Here is a 22,570-nt window from a genome sequence, read left to right on the forward strand (position 1 = left end):
ACTTATAAAAAAAGGGTTTTTTTTTAAATTTGTTTTTTAATGAAACAGTCTCAGACAGGTCCTTCAGGAGGTGTTCTAGTAAAAGACTCTGTGGCTGGGCGTGACGGCTCACGCCTGTAATCCCAGCACTTTGGGAGGCCGAGGCGGGTGGATCATTTGAGGTCAGAAACCCCGTCTCTACTAAAAACACAAAAATTAGCAGGGCATGGTGGTAGGCGCCTGTAATCCCAGCTACTGGGAAGATTGAGGCAGGAGAACTGCTTGAGCCCGGGAGGCGGAGGTTGCAGTAAGCAGAGATCACGCCACTGCACTCCAGCCTGGCGACAGAGCAAGACTCCATCTCAGGAAAAGAAAAAAAGAAAAAGACACTGTTATCATAGGAGAGGACAGCTCTATGCCTGTTATTACTCCTGAAGACCTTCCAGTGGGACAAGACGTGGAGGTGGAAGACAGTGATGCTGATGATACTGACCCTGTGTAGGCCTAGGCTAATGTGTGTATCTGTGTCTTAGTTTTTAACAAAAAAATTTCAAAAGGAAAAAAGTTAAAAACGGAAAAAAGCTTATAGTATAAGGATATAAAGAAATAAAACTTTTTTACAGTTGTACAATGTTGTTTGTGTTTTACAAAAGTCAGAAAGTTAAAAAAATTAAAAAGTTTGTGAAGTAAGAGTTACGATAATACAGTAAGCTAAGGTTAATTTATTGAAGAAAGAAAAATATGTTTTCATAAATTACATTTTATAAATGTAGCCTATGGGTATAGTACTTAGTGAGCCTACAGTGTATAGTAATGTCCTAGGTCTTCACGTTCACTCACCACTTACTCACTGGCTCACCCAGAGCAACTTCCAGTCCTGAAAGCTCCATTTGTGGTAAGGGCCCTGTACAGGTATATTATTTTAGATCCCGGCTCACTGCAACCTCCGCCTCCTGGGTTCAAGCAATTCTCCTGCCTCAGCCTCCCAAGTAGCTGGGATTACAGGCATGCACCACCACGCCCAGTTAATTTTGTGTTTTTAGTAGAGACAGGGTTTCTCCATGTTGGTCAGGCTGGTCTCGAACTCTCGACCTCAGGTGATCCTCCTGCCTTGGCCTCCCAAAGTGCTGGAATTACAGGCATGGGCCACTGAGCTCGGCCTTTAAATCTTTTATACCATATTTTTACTGTATCTTTTCTATGTTGAGATACACACATACTTAGCATTGTGTTACAGTTGCCTACAGCATTCGGCACAGTACCATGCTGTACATGTTTGTAGCCTGGGAGCAGTAGGCCAGACCACACAGCCTAGGTGTGTAGTAGACTCTACTGTCTAGGTTCGTGTAAGTACACTCTGAAGTTTGCACAATGACAAAACTGTCTAATGACACATTTCTCAGAACATATCCTTGTCATTAAATGACACATGACTGTATGTTGGTTATGTTTGTATGAGCCTAAAGAAAGGTAGGTGCATATATATAATGAAAGAAAGCAGCAAGTGTTTTTGCTCATCTTTTAATTATTTGACTTTTTCTATGTAATTTGTAAGAGTTCTGGACCTGGCTAGGCGTGGTGGCTCACACCTGTAATCCCAGCACTTTGGGAAGCTGAGGCAGGTGGATCACTTGAGGCCAGGAGTTTGAGACCAGCCTGGCCAACGTGGTGAAACCCCATCGCTACAAAGAATACAAAAATTAGCCAGGCATGGTGGCGAGTGCCTGTAATCCCGGCTACTCAGGAGGCTGAAGCAGGAGAATTGCTGAAACCTACGAGATGTAGGTTGCAGTAAGCTGAGATCATGCCTCTGCACTTCAGTCCGGGCAACAGAGGGAGAGTCCGTCTCAAACAAACAAACAAACAAATAAAAAAAGAGTACTGCATATGAGGGATATACATCCTTCCCTGCCTGAGGAAAGATTCCTGCCAGCCTCTTCTTGATGGTTCCGTGGATCTCCAGGAGGTAGGAAAGACAGGCATGGCCTTTTTTGGTCCCCATTACCCTGTGACATCTGGCTTGTTGCAATAGCATGTATTGTTATGGTAGATTGAGAGAAAAAAATGCAGTTAAATAAATTTGAATACAAGAATGGAAAAGAAGAAGTTGCAAGGCAATATGTACCCTGGGTTTCAGATTTTGTGAAAAAGAACAGCCTGTGTTTATAAATATGCAGAAGGGCTGGGAGAGGACACAGCCAACTACGGGAGGTCACTTCTGAGCAGTGGGGTTTGCTGAAGGGGATTTTAACTTTTACACACCTCTATTGTTTGGATTTTTTACAATGGACATTTTTACTTTTGTAATAACAAAACAATAGAGTATTTTTTCCCTTGAAGTATAAGGTGCTGTTTGTGTATTGTGATTGCAAGGAGAGGGGGATGTGGACAAGAATGGAGATTGGGTTAGGATAGCGGACAGCTCCCCAGTATTTGAATGTGGTAGATTGCCATCAGGTAAATTCTGAACTGGTGTCTCTGCATGGCAGGATAAGCAGACCCAGGGGAAGGAGGAGGGAGCCCCACCTTGGGAAGCTCCAGTAGCACAGACTGCATGAATGACACTGTCGGCCCACCCAGCCCTCCGGAGGAGTGTGACAACTCTCTGTGAGTCTGAGGGGCAGGAAAGCCTCAAAGAGTGTTGGATTTCACCATGTTGTGAGGAAGGGCATCCTGGAAAGATGGAACAGCCAACAATTAGCATTTGCTGTGTGTCAGGATTGTTCTAAGCAGTTTATAGTGTGTGTGTGTGTGCGCACACACACACGACTATATATATAAATTCATTTAATCCAGCAACACGTCTATGAGATAGGTACTATTATTATTATTATTCCCACTTTACAGATGAGGAAAGTGAGACTCAGAGAAGTTAGATAACCTATCCAAGGATACACAGCTAGAATGAGGAGGGGCTGAGTCAGGAATGACGTTCATGACTCCAAGTTGGAGAGAAGGCTGTGTGTGCAGGCGAGTTTTGCTTTGTTTTTAGCAGGAGGGGGTTCTTTGGTGAAGGGGCAGCTACCCAGAGCTCTAGGCCTTCAGGAGCTAGGTCACTAATCCTCTCTAAGCTGTGCCTGTGAAATGAGGACAATGATTTTTGCTCCCCTAATTTCCCTTTCAGAGCTGGTCCCCTGTGCTGACAGCAGAGAGTATTCTCAACTGTGCAGCAAAGCACCGGGGCATGGGGGTGGTGGAGCTGCTCCGGGGTGGGGGACACTCCAGAGGCTCAGTGCTAAAGCTAGGTGTTTCCTCAGGCTCCAGTCAGCCCAGAGGGATGTGGGAGCCTCAGGGCTTCTTCCTGCACAGCTCTCCCTCTGCAGGAGCCAGTTCAGGTCAGCATGGAAGGCCCTGGAACAGCTGTGCCCCCTGAGGGTCCTGGGCAAAGCAGCTGGAATCCTGGCTGCACCCCTGCTGACTGTGTGACCTTGGGCAAGTGCCTTACCTCCCCAGAGCCTTTGTCTGCTTCATTGGGTTGTTGTGAAGATTAAATGAATTGATCTGTTTAGGGTGCTCAGAATGGTGCCTGGCCTGGAGTAATTGCTACATAAGCAGGACTGTTGTGTTTATGCTTCAGTAAATACTTATGAAGCCTCTAGGTGCCAGGCACCATGCTAGGTGCTGGGGACACTGGGATGGATGAGGCAGGCCTCTTCCCTGCCCTCTAGGATCTCTGTGTCTAGTCGGATGACCAACTATCCTGGTTTACCTGGGCCTGATGGCTTTCCTGGGACATGGGCCAATCACTGCCCAAACTGGGAAAGTCATTGGCAAAAGGACAAATTGGCTTCCCTACATCTAGTAGGGGCACAGATAATTGGACAGGTCTTCCCAAGAAGACACAGTAAAGAAGTTCGGGCTGTCATGGAAGCATTGGACAGGGCAAGACTGAAGCCTGGGCACCGGGGAGGGCTCCCAGGGAAGAAGCATTTGAACTGAGACCTAAGGATAAAAAGGGGGTTGAGCAAAGGAGGAAGGTGGGTGAGAGAAAGGGGCGTGGAGGAGAGTGTCCTGGGCAGAGGGATGGCATGTGGGCAGAGCTGGAGGCCAGTGAGAAGGTGGCACATGTGAACTCAGGTGTGCCCAGAGACCCGGGCCCGTGCACCGAGACATGCTTGTACAAGTGCTGAGAGGAGGATGCAAGGGGCAGTGTGGCAGGGAGATATATACACATGGATATGTACATGCTGGTATAGCCGCAGATCGCCTCTCACGACAGTGGTTGCCTCTGCGGAGGAGTACTGGGGAGGGGGTGCTGGAGAGGTGGGACAGAAGCCCTGTGGAGCATTGTTAAGTCGTGAGAATGTAATACCTACTCCAAAAGATAAAATAATCTAAAGCCACAGCCTCGCATGCCTGGGCTCACTCCCACGCCTAGCTCATTCCGGCAACGGGGCCTGGAGACAGTGGCTGGAGGGGCCCCTAGCAGGGGCTGGCCCAGCCTCAGGGGCACCAAGCTGGCCTAGGAAGGGGAAGAGGCCACAGCCACACTGTCTGCCGCCCCAGCCGAGCTCCGGCCTCCCCCAGGCCTGCGGCAGACAGAACTAAACAGGCTGGCTTATCAGCTGTCGCCACTGTGTCCCACCCGGCTGAGCTGGGCTCCGGCCGCCAGGAAGGTGGCCCCCAGCTTTTTGCCAGGGATAGTATTGGCCCAGGGTGGGGAACCTGTGGAGGTGTTTTCCCAGGGTCAGTCTGGGGTGGGTGGGGGTGTCTGGTAGGTGTGTAGCGGCAGTGGTCAGGGGGCAGGGGGACTGGGGCCCAGGGGATGCTCTGGGCCCCAGATTTGCTGTGGAGTTTTAAAGGATTAATTTTTGGTATTATTTTAAATAATTTGGAATTATTTTAAAATAATTCAATAATTCATTATCTTTTAAAAAAAATCAGGCTATTCTTTAGCGTGCGAGTTGTGAATTCTTCCTCTGGAAACAGGCCTGTGGGGTGCTGGGTCTGCTGTACTGTGTCATGTACATGTCCTCATTCAGTCCTCAGGGCTCCAGGAGGTGGGCACTGTCATACTTATTTTACAGATGAGCAAACCAAGGCTCAGCCCAGCGAAGGTTTGTTCCCCAGGCCCCAGGGCAGGGATGTGGCAGAGCTGGTTTCACGCCACCTTCCCATCCTCTTCCAGGGGCCCCCAGTACCTCCTCATTGAGAGGTGGGGGCACGGAGGTCAGAGGGGGAATGTGACTGGGCAGGCATCCTCTGGCCTCCCTGGTCCTCAGTGTCCTCCTCTGAGCAATGGGTCAGACATTCTGGCCCTGCTCCCTGTTCGGGGAAGTTGTGAGGATGGGCCAGGGACTGTGTGTCTCTGTGCAGAGGAAGGAAGGGATGGGGCACTCCTTGTGTGTTTACCTCTCTTCCTTGGATCCCAGGAGCCCCAGTGGGGGTGGGGGATTGCCCCTAACTACCGCATTTGTCATACAAGGCCTGTCAACCCCCAGGGGTTTAGTCCCCAGAAACAGCAGGCCTGGCCTCCCTCAGCTGCCCCCTGGCTTCCTGCCCAGGGAGACCAGACTGCGCCTGGCTGGGCCAAACCAGAGCTCTGAGGGTGGAGAGCGGCATGGGAAGGGGGAAGGAGAGAAGGAGGAGGGAACTTCAAAGCCCCCATAGCTGTGAGACAGTTTGGGCAGAGACTGCTGGAGGCTGGGGGTGGGAGACTGGGGGCTGAGGGACAGAGTGAAGGCAGAGGGTGGACCCACGACTGTGAGGGGTCCCACAGGCACCCCCACTCAGCTGGTCTGACATCAAACTCACTGCCTTTCTCCAGACCTGCCCCAGCTCTTGGGAGTACACCATCCACCTAGAAATCTGGGTGTCCTGCAGTCCCCTCCCTTCCCGGGGACAACCAGTCACCAAGTCCTGATTCTCCTGTTTCCCCAGTATGGCCCCAGCCTGGGCCAGCTCTCCATCCCCTGAGGAGTTCGGGCCTCTCCTCCTCTTATCAGGACCCTGACCACTGTTCCCCAACAGGCCTCTTCTGCCCCCAGTTTCTTCTTCACCACCCCCTACACACACACACACACACACACACACACACACACACACACACACACACATGCAAATGTGCACTTCTCCCCAGAATCCCCTAAGTTCTAGCTCCAACATACAATCGGACACCCTCTCACCCTGGTTTAAACCATTTAATAGCGCTGCACTGCTAGAGGGAGTGTCTGAGCTCCTAGCATGGCCTGTGAGGAACCCTCCCCCAACACCCCCATCTATTTTGTCAGCTCTGCCCCCTTGCCGCTCCCTGCCCCACCCCGGGAAAAGCCTCCCTATGCTGTAACTCAGGGTGTCTTTGCTAGCCCCAGACCTTCGCTCTGCCCTGGCTGTCTCCTCCCTAGAAGGCCCTCTTTGCCACCCACTCTTGACTCCTTCCCCAGGCACTACCCTCCTTCCCCCAACACCGCTCCTACATGGCTTAGAAGGGGGTCCACACGCGGGTGCATACATCGCAAGGCAGTGTGGGAAGGGTTCCGACAGATGAGTGCCTGTCTGTCTCCTTCTTGGGACTGAGTATTCCTTGAGGGCAGGGCTGGGCCTTTCATCTCCTTGGGAAATGGCCAGGAACTCAGTAAGAGTTTGTCAAATGGGTAATAAGAATAGGATGAGCCTGGTGCTGAGTGCAGGGACGTCAGGGACATCAGGGTTCCCCCTTCGGGAGCCCCTGCATGATGTGGGCCTGAGGCATTCCATTCTGGTGGCAGACACCCTCCTGGAGTGGCCTTGGCCGACCCCAGCCCAGAGCATCTCTCAAGGCAGGTCCAGCCTGGCAGAACTTCCTCTTAGTGGGGGCACCCCAGCCCACACAGCCGGTCCCTGCGGCATCATCATCTTCCCGAAGATGTTCCCCAATACTCCCACGGCGTCCCTCCCTGGCTCGTACCCCCCCAGCAGGAAGTCCCCACTCCTCGGCCGCCCTATGCCTCCCCAGGCTCTCCTCTCCACAGCCCAGGCTCCCGCCAACACCAACAAACAGAAAACAGCCTGCTGCTCCCTGTGTGCCCTCTTGTTCTCACCCCAGAGCCTTTGCCTTCGCTGTAAATGCTGCCTATAGCTTCTCCCCAGTCTTTTCCTTGGTCCAAAGCCTGCCCCTCCCTCAGGCCTGGCTGAAATGCAGCCTCCTAGGGGTCCCTCCCCAGATCCCCTTGTTGGCCAGCACTAAGCTTCCTCTGCCGTCTGCTGGAGTTATTTATTCTGGGCTGATGTCCCTGTGAGCCTGGAATGGAGCTTCCTGAGTCTCAGTCCTGTCACTGGAGGTGCTTTTTCTGTAGATTGGTGCATGGGGATTTGCCATGCCTCACAGACAGGCAGGCTCAGGCTCAGGTCTTTGAAGCCAGCCTCCCGCCTCCTGGCTATAAGGCCTTGAACAACTGACTTAGCCTCTCCGAGCCTCAGTTTTCCCTCCTGTGAAATGGAGATAATGATCGAATCCCCCTCTAGTAGTGCCTCAGATCTGACAAATGCTTCATCTGGACAAGCCCCTCATGGAGCAGGTAGCCTGCTGGGCCAAGGGGACATGCCACCCACAGCCTATACCCCCCTGGCTCCCAACCACACTCCAGCCCCAGGCACCCCACAATTCCCTCCCCATGGCCCTGAATAGCCCAGGGCCACCCATTTGTAGGCGGTGTGGGCAGAGCTGGAGGTAGAAAGGGAAGCGGGGAGGCTGGGAGGGTCCAGTTTTGCCCATGCCACCCATCCTGGTGAGGAACTCTGAGGTCTTCAAGAAATTTAAATTTGAGCCTGACCTTCCCAGTCATTCTGAAAGCACATTAGCTACATTTGTCAAGGCAGGAAGATGGTTTGGTTTACAGCTTTTAAATATTTAGACATGCAGTAGGTGGGCCCTGGGTCCTGCCAATGTTAGGGGAGGCTGGACACCTTGCAGGGGCTTTGTGTGGATTAAACAGGATGGCCCCTGTGCAGTGGTTAGGTTGCAGGTTGCCCAGAACACAGAAGCACAGGTGGTGCTAGTCACTATCACCAAGATACAAAAGGCTGAGGACAGGAATCGGGGTGAGTGTGGCTGCCCCGGGAGGAGTTGAGGAGCAGGAGGAGGAGGAGAGCTGCTTGAATTCCCTACCCGGTAGGGTGCACACCGGCACAGACTCTTCTGCCGCTGCTGGTGTGCAAATGCTGGTGGTATGGCCTCCCTTCTCCTCTATGGGCACTCATCCCCACAGGGTCATCAGGTAGGGCCTCACTGAGGAGGTGTTGCTGTGCTGGCCAGGGAGGGGTCTCACCATGTCACAGGGAGGCTGTTTATTAAAGGAAGAAAGCTGTTAGGCCCTGGGACAAGAATCAAAGCTAGTACTTCTGTTCGTTTTATAATTTTGGAAACTTACTATTATTGTTATTTTACTATATAACAATGTATAGTCAGACCATTGTCAAAATGTTAACACATAGAGATAAGCCAAGGGAAAAAAAGCCACTGGCATTCCCCTTGCTGGGGACAAAGCCATCACGAACATTATATTGGGGTTTCCTTACACTCCAAGGGCTGAACCTAGAATTCTTTTTGGATGAGGCTTTGGAAAAGAATTCTAGGTTCAGCCCTCGGGCTGTAAGGAAACCCCAATCTCTGTGGGTTTGAAACTCTAGGATGAAAAAATTTAATTCTAGAAATGTCTCCCTGGTCCTGTCGTCTCCCTGCCCATCCCGTATCTCCTCCCTTCTGGGTCTGCTCAGCCCTTCCTACCCAGCCTCCGCCTACCCCTGAATTGCCTGGCTCAGTCCAGCCCCCAAACCTTTGCTCAGGATACGAATCAAGACAAGCTACTGGCCAGGCCAAGAGCTCATCTGAGCTGACCGCTTTGTTTTACTTGGTGGGAAAGGGGGGACACAGAGCGATGTGGTGGCACTGCTGGGACAAAGGCTCAAGCCTTCTGACTCCCAGTCCGGTGCTCTTCCCTGTAACCTATAACTGCTTGCCCTCTGTCTGTCTGATTCCTCTCCATCCATCAAACCTCCTGCCTCCTCCAGGGAGCATTCCTGACTGCCATATGAGAAGCCTCTCCCTCCCGCAGCTCACTGATAATGATAAATAACATACTGAACACTCAGGCACAATTCTAAAAACCACAGAATAACCCTATTATCCCCATTTTATAGATAATGAATCTGAGGCTTTGAGACACAAAGTAAATTGCCGAAGATAACCCGGAGTTGACAGTGGCAGACCAAGCCCTTCACAGCCCCTGCCCTTCTTGACCCTGCCTTCTCCTGGGCGGTTAAGTCCTGACCTTGAGGTCCTTCCAGGCAGCTAGGGTACAGCAGAAAGAGCACTGGACTTGGAGTCCAATCACTTGGCTGCAAGAGCCAGCTGTGCTGCCACTGCCCAGCTGTGGGAGCTTGGGGGAGCCTCAGCACCTCTTTTGGCCTCTGTTTCCTCCTCTGTAAAATGGGATCACCCTGTCTGCCCTGCCCACTTCAGAGGCCTATTTGAGAATTACTGAGGAAGGGTACTGCTTGGACTCACAGCAGAGTGTGTTCTCCGAATGTAAGATACCCCAAACTCCTGACAGCTCTCAACAGTAAGTTTACACAGAAAATAATACAGGGGCAGGGGCTCTGTTTGCTGAGGCACTTGTTTGAGGACTGGGCTGGGGAAGAGCTGGGCGGCCCGCCTGGCTCCCTGAAGAGTACATGGGCCTCTGTCCCCTCCTGGCTTCCAGGGGAGGACTGTCTGGCCCTGACTAGCTCTGTCCCCTCTGGTCTAGGTTCTGAGTGCAGCCTGAGGCTGCTGAGGTCTGCTCCTTCCCATGGGCCCATTCCTCCCACATGTAGGTCTTAGACGTTGGCCCGGAACTCAGGGGCCTGTGGGTTTGAAACTCTGGGATGAAAAAATTTAATTCTAGAAATGTCTCCCTGGTCCTGTCCTCTCCCTGCCCATCCCGTATCTCCTCCCTTCTGGGTCTGCTCAGCCCTTCCTACCCAGCCTCCGCCTACCCCTGAATTGCCTGGCTCAGTCCAGCTCCCAAACCTTTGCTCAGGGTACGAATCAAGACAAGCAATTTGGGCCCTGCCCCCCAAAGAGGGTTTCTGTGTGGTTTGGGAAGGACAAAGAATGTCTTTTGCCAACAGGGCAGAAATGACATGGTGGGTATTCCTGGCAGGAGCATAGGAGTGGGACACTAGCCTTCAGTCTGACATGGGCGCCACCGAGCCATGGAAATGCACTTTTAATTACAGCGTGGATGTAGCCGGCTGGACCCGAGTGTTATATTTTATTTATTTATTTATTTGAGATGGAGTCTTACTCTGTCATCCAGGCTAGAGTGCAGTGGCGCCATCTCAGCTCACTGCAATCTCTATCTCCCAGGTTCAAGTGATTCTCCTGCCTCAGCCTCCCGAGTAGCTGGGATTACAGGTGTCCGCCACCACGCCTGGCTAATTTTTGTATTTCAGTAGAGATAGGGTTTCGCCATGTTGGTCAGGCTGGTCTCAAACTCCTGACCTCAGGTGATCCGCCCGCTTCGGCCTTCCAAAGTGCTGGGATTACAGGTGTGAGCCACCGCTCCCAGCTGACCTGAGTGTTTTATAGGATCCAAGTGGGACGAACATTAACCAATTCCTCCCACAGGGGTTGGGGGATGGACTCAGAGATGCTGAGGCCAGATTTGAGGGAAGGGCAGGGAGGAGGGCAAGGCTGTCTCCAGAAGAGTCAGGTGTGATGGGTGATGGGTGGAGGAGACAGGAGAGGTGGGAGGGAGCAGCCTTGGGAGAGAGAGGGTGCCCTGATGTGGCAGTCAGACCGGCCTGAGATGGAATCCAGGCTGGTGACTTCCTGGCTGGGCAGCCCTGGGCAAGTTGCTCAGCCTCACAGCCTCAGAGCCTCAGCTTCTGTTTCTCTAAAATGGACATAATAGTTGCTTTGTTGCCAGGATATTATGAAGACTATAGATAATGTGTATAACGTGCTGAGCATAGAGCCTTTACATAGAGGTGTAAAGAAAGAAAAACTTTATTTCCCCAGGGTAAGAGTCAAATCTTGGATTTCCATGAATTTTATAATTTTGAAAAATTATTTTTCTTACTGTAAAGCAATATATGGTCATTGACAAAATATTAGCCTACAGAGATTTTAAAAAGCCATAGATAGTCCCTTTGCCAATTATTATTTATGATTATTTATTTATTTGAGACAGAGTCATCTGTCGCCCAGGCTAGAGTGCTGTGGTGTGATCTTGGCTCACTGCAACCTCCGCCTCCCAGGTTCAAGCAATCCTCCTGCCTCAGCCTCCCAAGTAGCTGGGATTACAGGCACGCAGCACCACACCTGGCTAATTTTTATACTTGATGAGATAGGGTTTTGCCATGTTGTCCAGTCTGATCTTGAACCCCCTGGGGCTCAAGTGATCTCCCACTTTGGCCTCCCAAAGTGCTGGGATTACCAGCATGAGCCACAGCATCTGGCCATTGTTTATTAAGTGTTACTGGTGGGATGTAAGGCGTGAGAAATGTCTGATGGCCTAAATATTCTCAGAGTCCCTGAAATTATTCTGCTTTGACTGACCCTCATTTCGCCAATGTTTAAGCAGCCAAGTGAGGGTGAGGGCCTCATGGAGGTGGCAGGCCTTTGATTTGGTTACATTGGAAGCTGGTTCCACTCCTGGAGAACACCAGCCTCCCTGTGAAAGAGGGTCCTGCCCAGCCATCTCCCAGACCAGCAGGTTTTTCCATGAAATGCTACAGAAAAGGGCAAATAATTCAAGTTTTGGAGCCACATAGGCCTGGGTTCCAAGCTGACTCGGACCTTCAGATGCTTTGTCAGTTTTATTATTTTGGTAGAAATGATGCATGTGATTGTTTTAAGAAAGTGTAAAGAGGAAACCACAAACCCTACCACCGGAGGTTATGAAGCATCCTTCTAGTCATGTCTCTATGCAGAGAGGGGTGTGCACAGTGTGTCTTGGCACTCGCCTAATTTAGCTCTCGAAGCCTCACAGAGGTGAGCAAGGTGGAGCATCAAGGCCGGGGCGTGGTGGGGGTAACAATGGGATGCTGGTCCTTTATGAGATAGAGTTCATATTTATAATGTGTTGCCTGTATTCATAATGTGTGTCCCAGTCAGGGGTGGTGAAAAGCCCTGTGTGTGCAGGGAGAGAAGGAGCTATAAGAAAGCATGCCAGGCCAGGTGTGGTGACGTACGCCTGTAGTCTCAGCACTTTGGGAGGCTGAGGTGGGCGGATCACTTGAGGTCAAGAGTTTGAGAACAGCCTGGCCAACATGATGAAATCCTGTCTCTACTAAAAATAATTAGTTGGGCATGGTGGTGCACACCTGTAGTCCCAGCTACTCAGGAGCCTGAGGCAGAAGAATAGCTTGAATCCAGGAGGCAAAGGTTGCAGTGAGCTGAGATCAGGCTACTGCACCCCAGCCTGAGTGACAGAGTAAGACTCTGTCTCAAAAAAAAAAAAAAAAAAAAAAAAGAAGGCATGCCAATGCCACCTAGGACAGGGCCCTCCAAGGGTCTCTCATCTATCCTGCACCATTTTCCAGGAAGCCAGTATGACACTGTGGCTTAAGACAGTGAACATGGGGTGCCTGGCTGCCTGGATTCAAAGCCAAGCTCTGCCACTTGCTAGCTGCCTGACCTGGGGCATGTTTCTTGATTTCCTCATGCCTCAATTTCCTCATTTGAAAGTTGGGGGTCAATAATAGAACCTCTGTCATAGGGTTCCCTGAAGTTTAAATGAGTGAATTCAAATAAAGCACTTACCATTTCTGGCACAAGGTGAGTGATTCATAAGTGTTCGTTGTTATTAATGTTATTATTGTTATTCTATGGCCACATTGCTCACGCTATGGAACCAGCAGGACAGCTCCAGAGGATCGGGGGCCAAACGGGTCTGGAGTCGGCTGCTCTGGGCTTCCAGATGGCCCTGCCTCTCCCTCCCTGAAACTCTCTGTCTCTGGATCTTGCTCACCAATAGCACCCACCTTTTATCAAGGTTTGGGGAGGCAGCAATCACATTGGATATCTGGGAACACAGGGTGTAATTTGTAAAGCCCTGGCTTATATAAGCCCCCTGATATTCTTAGCTACTTCTGATCTTCCATCCCCCAGATCAGAAGAGCCAGAGAAACAGTTGTTATTGTGGTGGTTGTTTTTTAAAAACTGGCCTTTCAGGACTTCTGAATTGATCTCCCATTTTATATAGAGGAAACCCTAGGCCCAGGGAAGTGAAGTATTGTCACCCACCGTGAAGTGGCTCTGCTGGGCTTCCAAGTGCAAATTAGGAGCTCCTTTCCAGACCCTGGGCAGTGACCTGGCTCTGTGTCCACGCTGCAGGCTCTGAGAGCTGTGGTGCTGCTGATGTTTTGCTTGAGTCTTTCAGCGTAGCTCCATGCTCAATTAATGCTGTTCTGGAAGAACCACAGAAGCACATCTTTCACCCTCTTGTACACAGGAAGAAACAGAGGCTCAGAGAGGAGGACTGGCTGCTCTGAGTCACACGGTGACCAGGACAGGGAGCTAGAGCCCAAGGTTCCTGGTGTCTGGGCCAGTGCTGTGCCCACTCCTCTCCCCGCCTTTCTATTTAGTGCACTTGCTGAGCCCTCCACGAAGGAACAGAGCCACTGTGGGGAGTGCTGTTGGCACCAAGAAGATGGCGGGAGAAGGTGGAATCCTGGCTCTTGGGGCCAGGCCTGAGGCGTAGGACAGAATGGCATGTGGCTCGGCCCAAGACTATATTTCCATGAGGGGGTTTCTTTATCCATCTTAGATCCATCCTTTCATGAAGGTTGGAGAGGGAGGAGGCCAGGCTTGTTCTATCCTGCAGTTAGGGAAACTGAGGCAGAAAGCTTCAGAGCAACATAATGATTCATTTAGGGCCAAAAGAGGCCATGTCAGTGCCTTCTGCTCTCAGCTCTCCAACTTCCAAAGCTCTGGCCCAGATATCCCCAGCCCTTGAGGGTACCCTCAGACTGAAGGGATCTAGAGGCAGAGGGTAAGGCCCACTCAGCCTCTCACTTGCTGGATGACTTTGGGACAAGTCGTAGCTCTTCTCTTGCCTCAGTTTCCTCATATGTATAATACGTTGATGGTAATTCCTGGCCTCACTCATCCCCTGAGGACAGATACAGTCACAAATGGATGTGACTTTTCTTTGAAAATTATAAAATGGGCTGGGCATGGTGGCTCATACCTATTATCCTAGCATTTTGGTAGGCCCAGGAGGGCAGACTGCTTGAGCCCAGGAGACCAGCCTGGGCAACAGGGCGAAACCCTGTCTCTAGGAAAAAAAAAAAAAAAAATTAGCTGGGCATGGTGGTGCATGCTTGTGGTCCCAGCTACTCAGGAGGCTGAGGTAGGAGGATCACCTGAGCCCAGGAGGTTGAGGCTGCAATGAGCCATGCATTCCAGCCTGGGTGACAGAGCATGGCCCTGTCTCAAAAAAAGGAAAGAAAGAAAATATAAAGTGAAGAGCAAGTGTGTGAAGTAAAGAGAGCTCAGATAGCAGGCACAGCTGTTGGGGGAAGAGGCTACTATGGGAGGTATGCATACTCTGTGTGGACATTGTGTTTTCATTATTACTCCATTTTTCATGTTTTCTTATATAATTAATTTGTCTTTTTATTGTCCCTGAAATTAACTTTAATACAAGGGTAAGGAAATACAGAGAAGCAGAGAGAGAGAGAAAGAAGGAAAGAAAGAAAATCCATAGTCCCAACTCCCAGGACCCCACCTTGGACCCCGCCAGGGGAACCACTGTGAACGTTTTGGTGGAGTTCCTTCCAGGCCTTTTTCCATGCATTTGTATCAAAATAGCAGTATGTATATATGTATTGAATACCATAGAATAATATTTTATTGATTGTTTTGTGAAGTTTTCTTTTTTCCATTGGCAATATTTCAACAACATTTCACTCTGTCAACACATGTTCTTTGATGGTATTCTTTATTCATGGTGGGGAGCGTTCTGTGGAGGGCCTACGGTGGTTTGGTGCACCAGCCACTATAGATCCAAGCTGTTTAAGTGACACAGAAACTGTCTTCAGTTTCTGTGTCAGTTTCTGTCTTCAGTTTCTGCCCCAGGGGATGAGGCTGGGAGTGGAGTGGGGGCTTAGGAGGCCTTTGGGACATGAGGCCCACTGTCTGACAACTTAGGCTGGGGTGGGACTCAAGTGGGGTGGCTTGGAAGAGGGAGAAAGACCAGCTCCCCATGGGCAGGCACAGATCTGTCTGCACCCAAGCCCTCCTCCACTTGTTCTCAGGGCCTCCTGCAGGGCTTGGGATGGCTTTTCTCCTCTGCTGACCTCTGGCCAGGGCCACCCTGGTGTGGGCAAACCAGTGGTGGAGGACATCCAGAGACAATGTGGCCTGGAGTTTGCCTTGTTCCCTGCTCAGCCCTCCAGGCCCTAAGCCCTGAGGAGGGGACTTTGTTCCATGACATTGAGGCCAAAGGCTGCTCTTCTAGACTTGGGGAAGGCCTTGAGGAGCAAGGAAGAGGGAAGGCGGTGGTTCGTCTTGGGCTCAAGGGTCATCTGATCTTACCTGTCATATGACAGGTGGGAACACTGAAGCCCAGACATGGGAGGACTTTTGCCCAAGGTCCCACAGCAAGTGGTAGAAGTGTCAGGCCTGGTGACCCGCCTAGGGCTCCTTCTGTGACACCTCACTGTATGGGAAAGCATTGCCACTGAGGACACTGTCCCTACAGCCAGAATCCTGGTGCTGCTACATACACTCATTGTCAGATGTATGACAATGGCCAAGTTGCTTCACTTCTTGGTGCCTCAGTTTCCCCCTCTCCAAAATGGTTATAAGAATTGTCACATATGTATTTCATAGGGTTGTTGTGGAGCTTAAACAAGTTAATTCTTGTAAAGTGCTTTGAACAGTGCTTAGCACACAGTAGGCACTCCTAAATGTTACTGGTTGGAGTTTTCTCTCCAGCTGTCCAGAAAAAGTGAAGGCCAACTTGTGCCCCTGCCCTTCCCTCACCGAATCTGCAATCCCAAAACTTGCTGAGCTGGCAGAACACACAGAACATGAGGACATCACCTTTCAGATATGCTCAGCTGAGGGACTCAAGTTTGTCCTCTTTGGACTGTGTTTTCCCTGGATGTGCTAACAGGAGCCTGGACTTTCTGGATATTTTTATTTGCTGCATCACGTGGGATAAATTACTTCCCCTCTCTTGGAAACAAGGGTTGGACTTCAGGACGGTTATAGCTCCTTCCAGTGCCAAAGCAGGTTTGGGATGCAGCCTGGAATGGGGGGGACTTGACAGTTGGGGACTTAGCAGGTGTTATGGGCTGAACTGTGTCCCCCAAGAATTCATATGTTGAAGTCCTAACCCCCAGTGCCTCAAGATGTTATGGTATTTGGTGACAGGGCTTTTGAAGTAAAGAGATGAATAAGGTAAAATGAAGCCATCAGGGTGGGCCCTAATCCAAATCTGCCTAGTGTCCTTATCAGAAAAGGAAATCTGCACGAAGACATGTAGAGTTGGCCCTCCCTGTCTGTGGGCTCCTCATCCATGGATTCAACCAACTCTGGATTGAAAATATTTGAAGAAAAAAAAGGATGTTTGTATCTGTACTGAATATGTATGAACTTTTTTTCTCATCATGATTCCTGAAACAATACAGTATAACAATGATTTACATAGCATTTGCATTGTATTAGGTATTATAAATAATCTGGAGATGATTTAAAGTATAGTGGAGGATGTGCATAGTTTATATGCAAATACTGTGCTATTTTATATAAGGGACTTGAGCATCTGTGGATTTCAGTATCCGAGGTGGGGTCCTGGTACCAGTTCTCCATGGATACCGAGGGAGGCCTGTACAGAGGGAGACCTTGTAGAGACACAGGAAGAAGATGGCCATCAGTAAGCTAAGGAGAGGGGTCTCAGAAGAAATCAACCCTGCCTTTTTTATTTTTTTATTTTTATTTTTTTGGAGATGGAGTCTCGCTCTGTCGCCTAGGCTGGGAGTGAAATGGTGCGACCTCGGCTCACTGCAACCTCTGCCTCCCAGGTTCAGGCAATTCTCCTGCCTCAGCCTCCCGAGTAGCTGGGATTACAGGCCCGTGCCACCACTCCCAGCTAATTTTTGTATTTTTAGTAGAGATGGGGTTTCACCATGTTGGCCAGGCTGGTCTTGAACTCCTGACCTCAGGTGATCTGCCTGCCTTGGCCTCCCAAAGTGCTGGGATGACAGGCGTGAGCCACCGCGCCCAGCCATCCCTGCTGACACCTTGATCTCAGGCTTCTAACCTCCAGAACTATGAAAAAAATAACTTGCTGTCGTTTAAGCCACTCAGTCTGTGTGCCTTGTTATGGCAGCCCAAGCAGACGGATACAGTGGGGTATAGGTTGTTCATCTGGTTCCATAAGGACGGCTTTGGATTCACCAGGTTGCCAGGATCTGTTGAGGGCAAGGATGTGTGTTCCTGGTGCTTCTGAGAGTCCTTCAGCATTGGGTCTGTGGCCCCTGGGGTCTCTGGGATGACAGAAACCAGGGCTGAGCATGTAGAGAATGGTGGATCATTCTAGCCCCACTGTGTGCCAGCCCTGCGCGTTCTTTGTCTCCCTTAGTCCTCCCAACACTTCAGGGAAGATATTCTTAACGACATTTTTCGGAGGGGGAAACAGTGGCTTAGAGAGCCACCTGCCCAAGGATTCCAGCTGTTTTCTGCCTGACCCCAGACACATGCTCTTTCCTGCATACCCCGTGCCCCTCCAAAAAGGCCTCCCACATTGTCCTGGCTGGCCTGTGCCCCTGTCACTGTGTGGCGGTGTAGACCCTGGCACCCTGTACCCCAGAGGCAAGGGAGAGCCAGGAAGGGCCCAGGCTCCAAAGCAGGAATGTACCCCCCCGCCGACCCCCCACCCCCAGCTTTCCTCAGCTCTTTTTCTGTTGTTTCTTTGGTCAGCCGGGCCCTGTTATCTTCCTCTGAGCCTGACGCCTTGTTCTTCCTGTTTAAAATTCAGACTCTGGACTTTTCCTTTGGGGGCGGTTATATGTTTGTTTTGTGTTTTGGATTCTCCTCCAGCCCCTGTCTCTGGCCCTTTAGGTCACCCAGGCTTAGCACTAAACCCGTTTTGAATACCCCAGTGACTGAGTAGGGGGTCCTCTCTGCCCAATTCCCTGGCAGGGGAAGAGGGAGGATTCTGCCGCTCTTTCTCTGGCTGTCACATCCAGGCTCCACCAGCCCTGTTCCGCTGCCCCCTGTTCACCCCACGGCTCCCCTTCCAGTCCCATCCCACGCTGAGGGGCTCCAGGCTCCCTGCAGCACTCTGTTTTGAGCCCAGCACACCCCAGGAAGGAGATTCAGCCATAGAAGAAGAAAAAAGCTCAACTGTGAGTCACCCCGATGGGCTGCATTTTTGATAGTGGAGACAAGACCTTAAAATAGCTGGCATTGCTGCCTAAGGGGAGAGGGCACGGAACTGGGAGTGAGGAGACCTGGGCTCCCATCTTGGCTGTGCACTCTGTGCTGTGTGAGCTTGGGCATGTCATGTCCCTCTCTGGACCTCAGTTTTGCCACAGAAGGGTGGCTGGGAGTTGGGCCAGCCACCCCTGAGGTCCTCCCAACCTGATAAGCTGTGAGTTCAGGTCATCGTGAGATGCTCTTGAGGACTCCGGGTGGGGTAACTGTGGGGAGACCCAGGGGATAGAGCACAAGCACGGGGTGAAGTGTGGAAGTGTGCTCAGCTTTGCAGTGCAGACCCAGCCCCACCTCCTCCAGGCAGCCTTCTCTGGCCTCCTGGGCCATCCTCTGAGCCAGGATTCCACCCTCACCAGGAACACTGGGAAGGCCTTAGGCTTGGAATGAAATGTTGGGAAGATTTTTTTTTTTTTTTTTTTTTTTAAGACAGAGTCTTACTCTGTCGCCCACTCTGGAGTGCAGTGGCGCAATCTCGGCTCACCGCAATCTCCGCCTCCCAGGTTCAAGCAATTCTCCTGCCTCAGCCTCCCAAGTAGCTGGGATTACAGGCACCTGCCACCACACTTGGCTAATTTTTATATTTTTAGTAGAGATGGGATTTTGCTATGTTGACCAGGGTGGTCTCAAACTCCTGAACCTCATGTGATCTGCCTTGGCCTCCCAAAGTGCTGGGATTACAGGCGTGAGCCACCGCACCTGACGTTGATTTTTAACCTCTCTGAGCCTCAGTGTGTTTCTTCGTCAAATGGAAATAATATCTATCTTGCAGGCCTGTTGGGAAGACTGGAGATGGTGTGGGGCCTAGCACAGAATGGTGGGCCTGATGGTCATTATCTCCCAGTAGGAGAATGTATGTGAGGGCTTCTCCCTGGCTGTGAGCTCCTAGAGAGCAGGTGTCTGGTCACACCTATCCTTGGGTGCCCCTAGCCCAGGGACCATTGACTGAAAAGGGAGCTGCCTCAGTGAGATGTGGTGTCAGGCATCCCTTGACCCTCCCTCACATCCACTGCTTACCTTTGTACTCCAGCTCTTGCTAGGGCAGCTAGCTCTGTGCAGGTGTCAACTGATAGCACCTGGCCTTGCAGCCCAGCTTAGTGCTTGCTTCCTGCCCCAGGTGACAAGAACCAGTGGGTGATGTTTTCCTTCCAAATTGCAGGGGACCAATTCTGAGCCACATCCTACCCATTCCTCAGAGGGTCCCCAAAATTATGGGACCCCAGGACCCCACAGCAGTGCTAGCTCGCTAACGCCCCACAGGCTGGCTTTTATTCCTTGCCTGTTTCACTCATCCCAGGTCCTCATTGCTGACTCTGGAGGGCATCTGGGAGAGTCCCGAGACTTTGAGGAAGGTCCCCTGGGATAGTGGTCAGTGCGTGGGCTGCAGCCGGCATGCCTGGAAACCTCAGGCTGAAGCCAGCTGGGTGGGGCAGGAGCCTGGTGATGGGGCACAGCCCTATGCAAGGCCTTTGCCCAGATTCTCTCTGCTCTGCTCAGCGGCGCAGAGGTGGGGGGGCTCATTGTCCCATCTTGTGGGCGGAGCTGCAGATGAAAGTAGCAGAGCTGGATATGGAAGCCCCCCTGCAGATTGCTAGTCCACCCAGGCCTCATTCATCCCGCTGGCTCCCTGAGGAAGGGCCGGAGCCGAGTTCTGCTCCACTCCTTTCTCCTTTCATTTGCAGGTTTTGGAATATCTTTTCTGTTTACTAATTTTGGAAAAAGTCTAGCTGTTTTTTGCCATCTCTCAACTCTTCCCCTTTGAACCCTCAGGGAAGGCCCTGTAGCTCAGGGGCAAAGGTCTGAGGGGCTTCCTGCACCCACCCCAGGGCCCTGTAGCCTCCCCCAGACAGGGAAAGCTGGCTGCCCTAGAGCACCTTGCAAAGGTCCAGCTGTTAGGAGCCTTAGTTTCCACATCTGTAAAGTGGGCCCAATAACATAGCTGACCTTATAGGGCCCTTGTGAAGATTGGTTCAGATAACACAGAAGATGACCCATGGTGAGCTGGCTCTATTTTATTTCTTGTTCTGAGTGGTTTCCTGCCTCCTCAGGCAGCAGAATCAGGTTCTGGCAGACTTGGGTGAGGTATGGGATGGAAGAGCACCTAAAGTTTGGAACCAGAGAACCAGGTCCCAGCCTGGCTTTGCTGCTAACTGGCTGTGGAACTTTGGCCCCCTGCACAGTGCCGAAGACACCACCTGTACGTGGGTACATTGTGAGGAGGCTCCAGTGAGGGGTAGGGCTGGTATGCTGGGGCTTGTCCCTGCTGGCCTGTTCTCAGTCCCCACCCCAGCCAGCCTCGGCACAAGGACAGGCGGGCACAGTGATCCCCACGTAGCTGGCTCCCAGCATCCTGCCGCCAGCTCCCCAGGCTGCCCGTCTGCAAGCCCTGCCCAGCCCTGCCCGGCCCGCCAGAGTGGCTGAGGGCCTGGAGCCGATGGAATCAGCGTGCCCTTCCCTTCTTTGTCTGCTGGTGCTTCCTTCCCTTCACAGCGTGCTTTCTTTTTTCTGGTTTATCAGGTCCTGGGGAAAGCCTGGGCCAGCCAGGCTCCCAGCCGAGCACCCTTGGGAGGCCGCCAGCCGGGAGCAGACATCCCCATCTCAGTCTCCGGGCCGGCAGCTCAGCAGTCCCCTCCCTCCACCTGATCCCAGCAGTTCCAGCCTGGCGGCCAGGGCCCAGGGACCCAGGCCCAATCCTAGCATGGAGGTGGTGGGGGTCCCCAGTGTCCTGAGACCTGAGAACTTCTCTTTCATAGGGTGGAAGCCTGAGGAGTCCTTTGGATACATTGAGACCCACCCCCCTCCTCACTTTAGGAGGGAGGAAACCGAGGTCTACAGACAGGCAGTGCCTGGAGGAGCCGGACCCTGGCTCAGGGCTCCTTCTCAACCAGCTGCAGCTTCCTCTTCTCTTCCGCAACACAGCGGGCAAGTCCAGGGGTCTGTGGTCTGAAAATTCCAGCTATGTATCGTGACCCCATCACTCACTAGCTGGGCAAGTTAACAAACATCTATTCTTCAGTTTACAAATCTATACAATGAAGATAATGATGCCTGCCTCACTGGCTGTTCTGAAGGTTAGAGGAGCCAGTGTAGATGACTGCCCACCCCAGGATGGGCATTCTCAATGGGAGTGATATTGCCCTCAAGGGAGCAAAACTTGGTTCAGGAAGGGGGTTAGAAAAAGTCTTCAATTATGAATATACATAGAGTGCAGAGCAGATATTCAGTATCTCTGTACTGTTAGAATTTTGTAGTGGGGAACGATTAGAAAAAAACTTATAAAGATTCTTTGGGGGGTAGGAGTCCTTATGAACAAAAAGGTGAGAAACATCACTCTAGCGTTAGAGCTCAGTTACTTCATCCCTCTACATACCCCTTTCCTCTCTTCCCTGGCTGCCCCCACCCAGCACAGGCTGTGCAGTAAGGTCAGGAATCAGGTTATGCCCGTCTTCTCAAAAACTCCTGAGAGGGGGTGGTGGGATCACCCACGTTTTGACATCAGAAAAGCTCACTCATTTGTTCATTCATTCATTTGACATTGCCCAAAGTCACAAAGCTACCTTTCAGAATAGTGCGCAAGTTGGGCAGTGATGGCCCTGATCCCAGCTCTCAATGAATAACCAGGACAAACAGCCAGGAAATGTAATACACCTGTACTAGAGGTGCGACCAAAGCCGGGTGGGCAGGCTAGGTGGGATGGCAGGCTCATCAGAGAAAAAGGGACATATGAGGGGGGCTTTGATGGATGGGTAGGAGTTCTCAGAATAAGGCAGAAGGAAGTGCCAGGTTAGGGGCATAACCTGAGCAAAGATACACAGGTATGCCTGAGGCCTGATGTGGGATTGGAGCTCTGGCAAGGAGTGGGTGAACAGGAGACCATCACACCTAGGGAGTGACTTCACTGGGTAGCCTTGTTCATCATTTCTCTTTGGTCCAATTTCTCCCCTGTAATGTCATTTTTTTTTTTTATAGACAAAGTCCAGTGGTGCAATCTCAGCTCACTGCAGCCTCCGGCCTCCGCCTCCCAGGTGCAAGCAATTCTCCTGCCTTAGCCTCCCAAGTCGCTAGGACTACAGATGCGCACCACCATGCCCCGTTAATTTTTGTATTTTTAGTAGAGACAGGGTTTCACCATGTTGGCCAGGCTGGTCTCAAGCTCCTGACCTCAAGTCATCCACCCGCCTC

The 22,570-nt window shown here is 51.4% G+C and overlaps 1 long non-coding RNA gene across 1 annotated transcript in view, besides 1 other annotated feature; it reads left to right on the plus strand.

Moving 5' to 3' along the window:
- LINC01169 (long intergenic non-protein coding RNA 1169) overlaps window positions 1-22,570 on the plus strand; it is a 103,609-nt gene that overhangs the window by 44,505 nt on the left and 36,534 nt on the right. The window lies entirely within an intron of this gene.
- Window positions 21,077-21,371: a silencer, noted in NCBI's record as "tiled region #14643; HepG2 Repressive non-DNase unmatched - State 22:ReprW, and K562 Repressive non-DNase unmatched - State 14:Gen5'". NCBI's record gives its function as "represses a minimal TATA promoter and a strong SV40 promoter by Sharpr-MPRA in HepG2 and K562 cells {active_cell/tissue: HepG2 | K562}" and the evidence as "EXISTENCE:reporter gene assay evidence [ECO:0000049][PMID:27701403]".

The sequence above is a fragment of the Homo sapiens genome, chromosome 15 (genome assembly GCF_000001405.40).
Source record: "Homo sapiens chromosome 15, GRCh38.p14 Primary Assembly".
In the NCBI taxonomy this organism is placed as follows: Eukaryota; Metazoa; Chordata; class Mammalia; order Primates; family Hominidae; genus Homo; species Homo sapiens.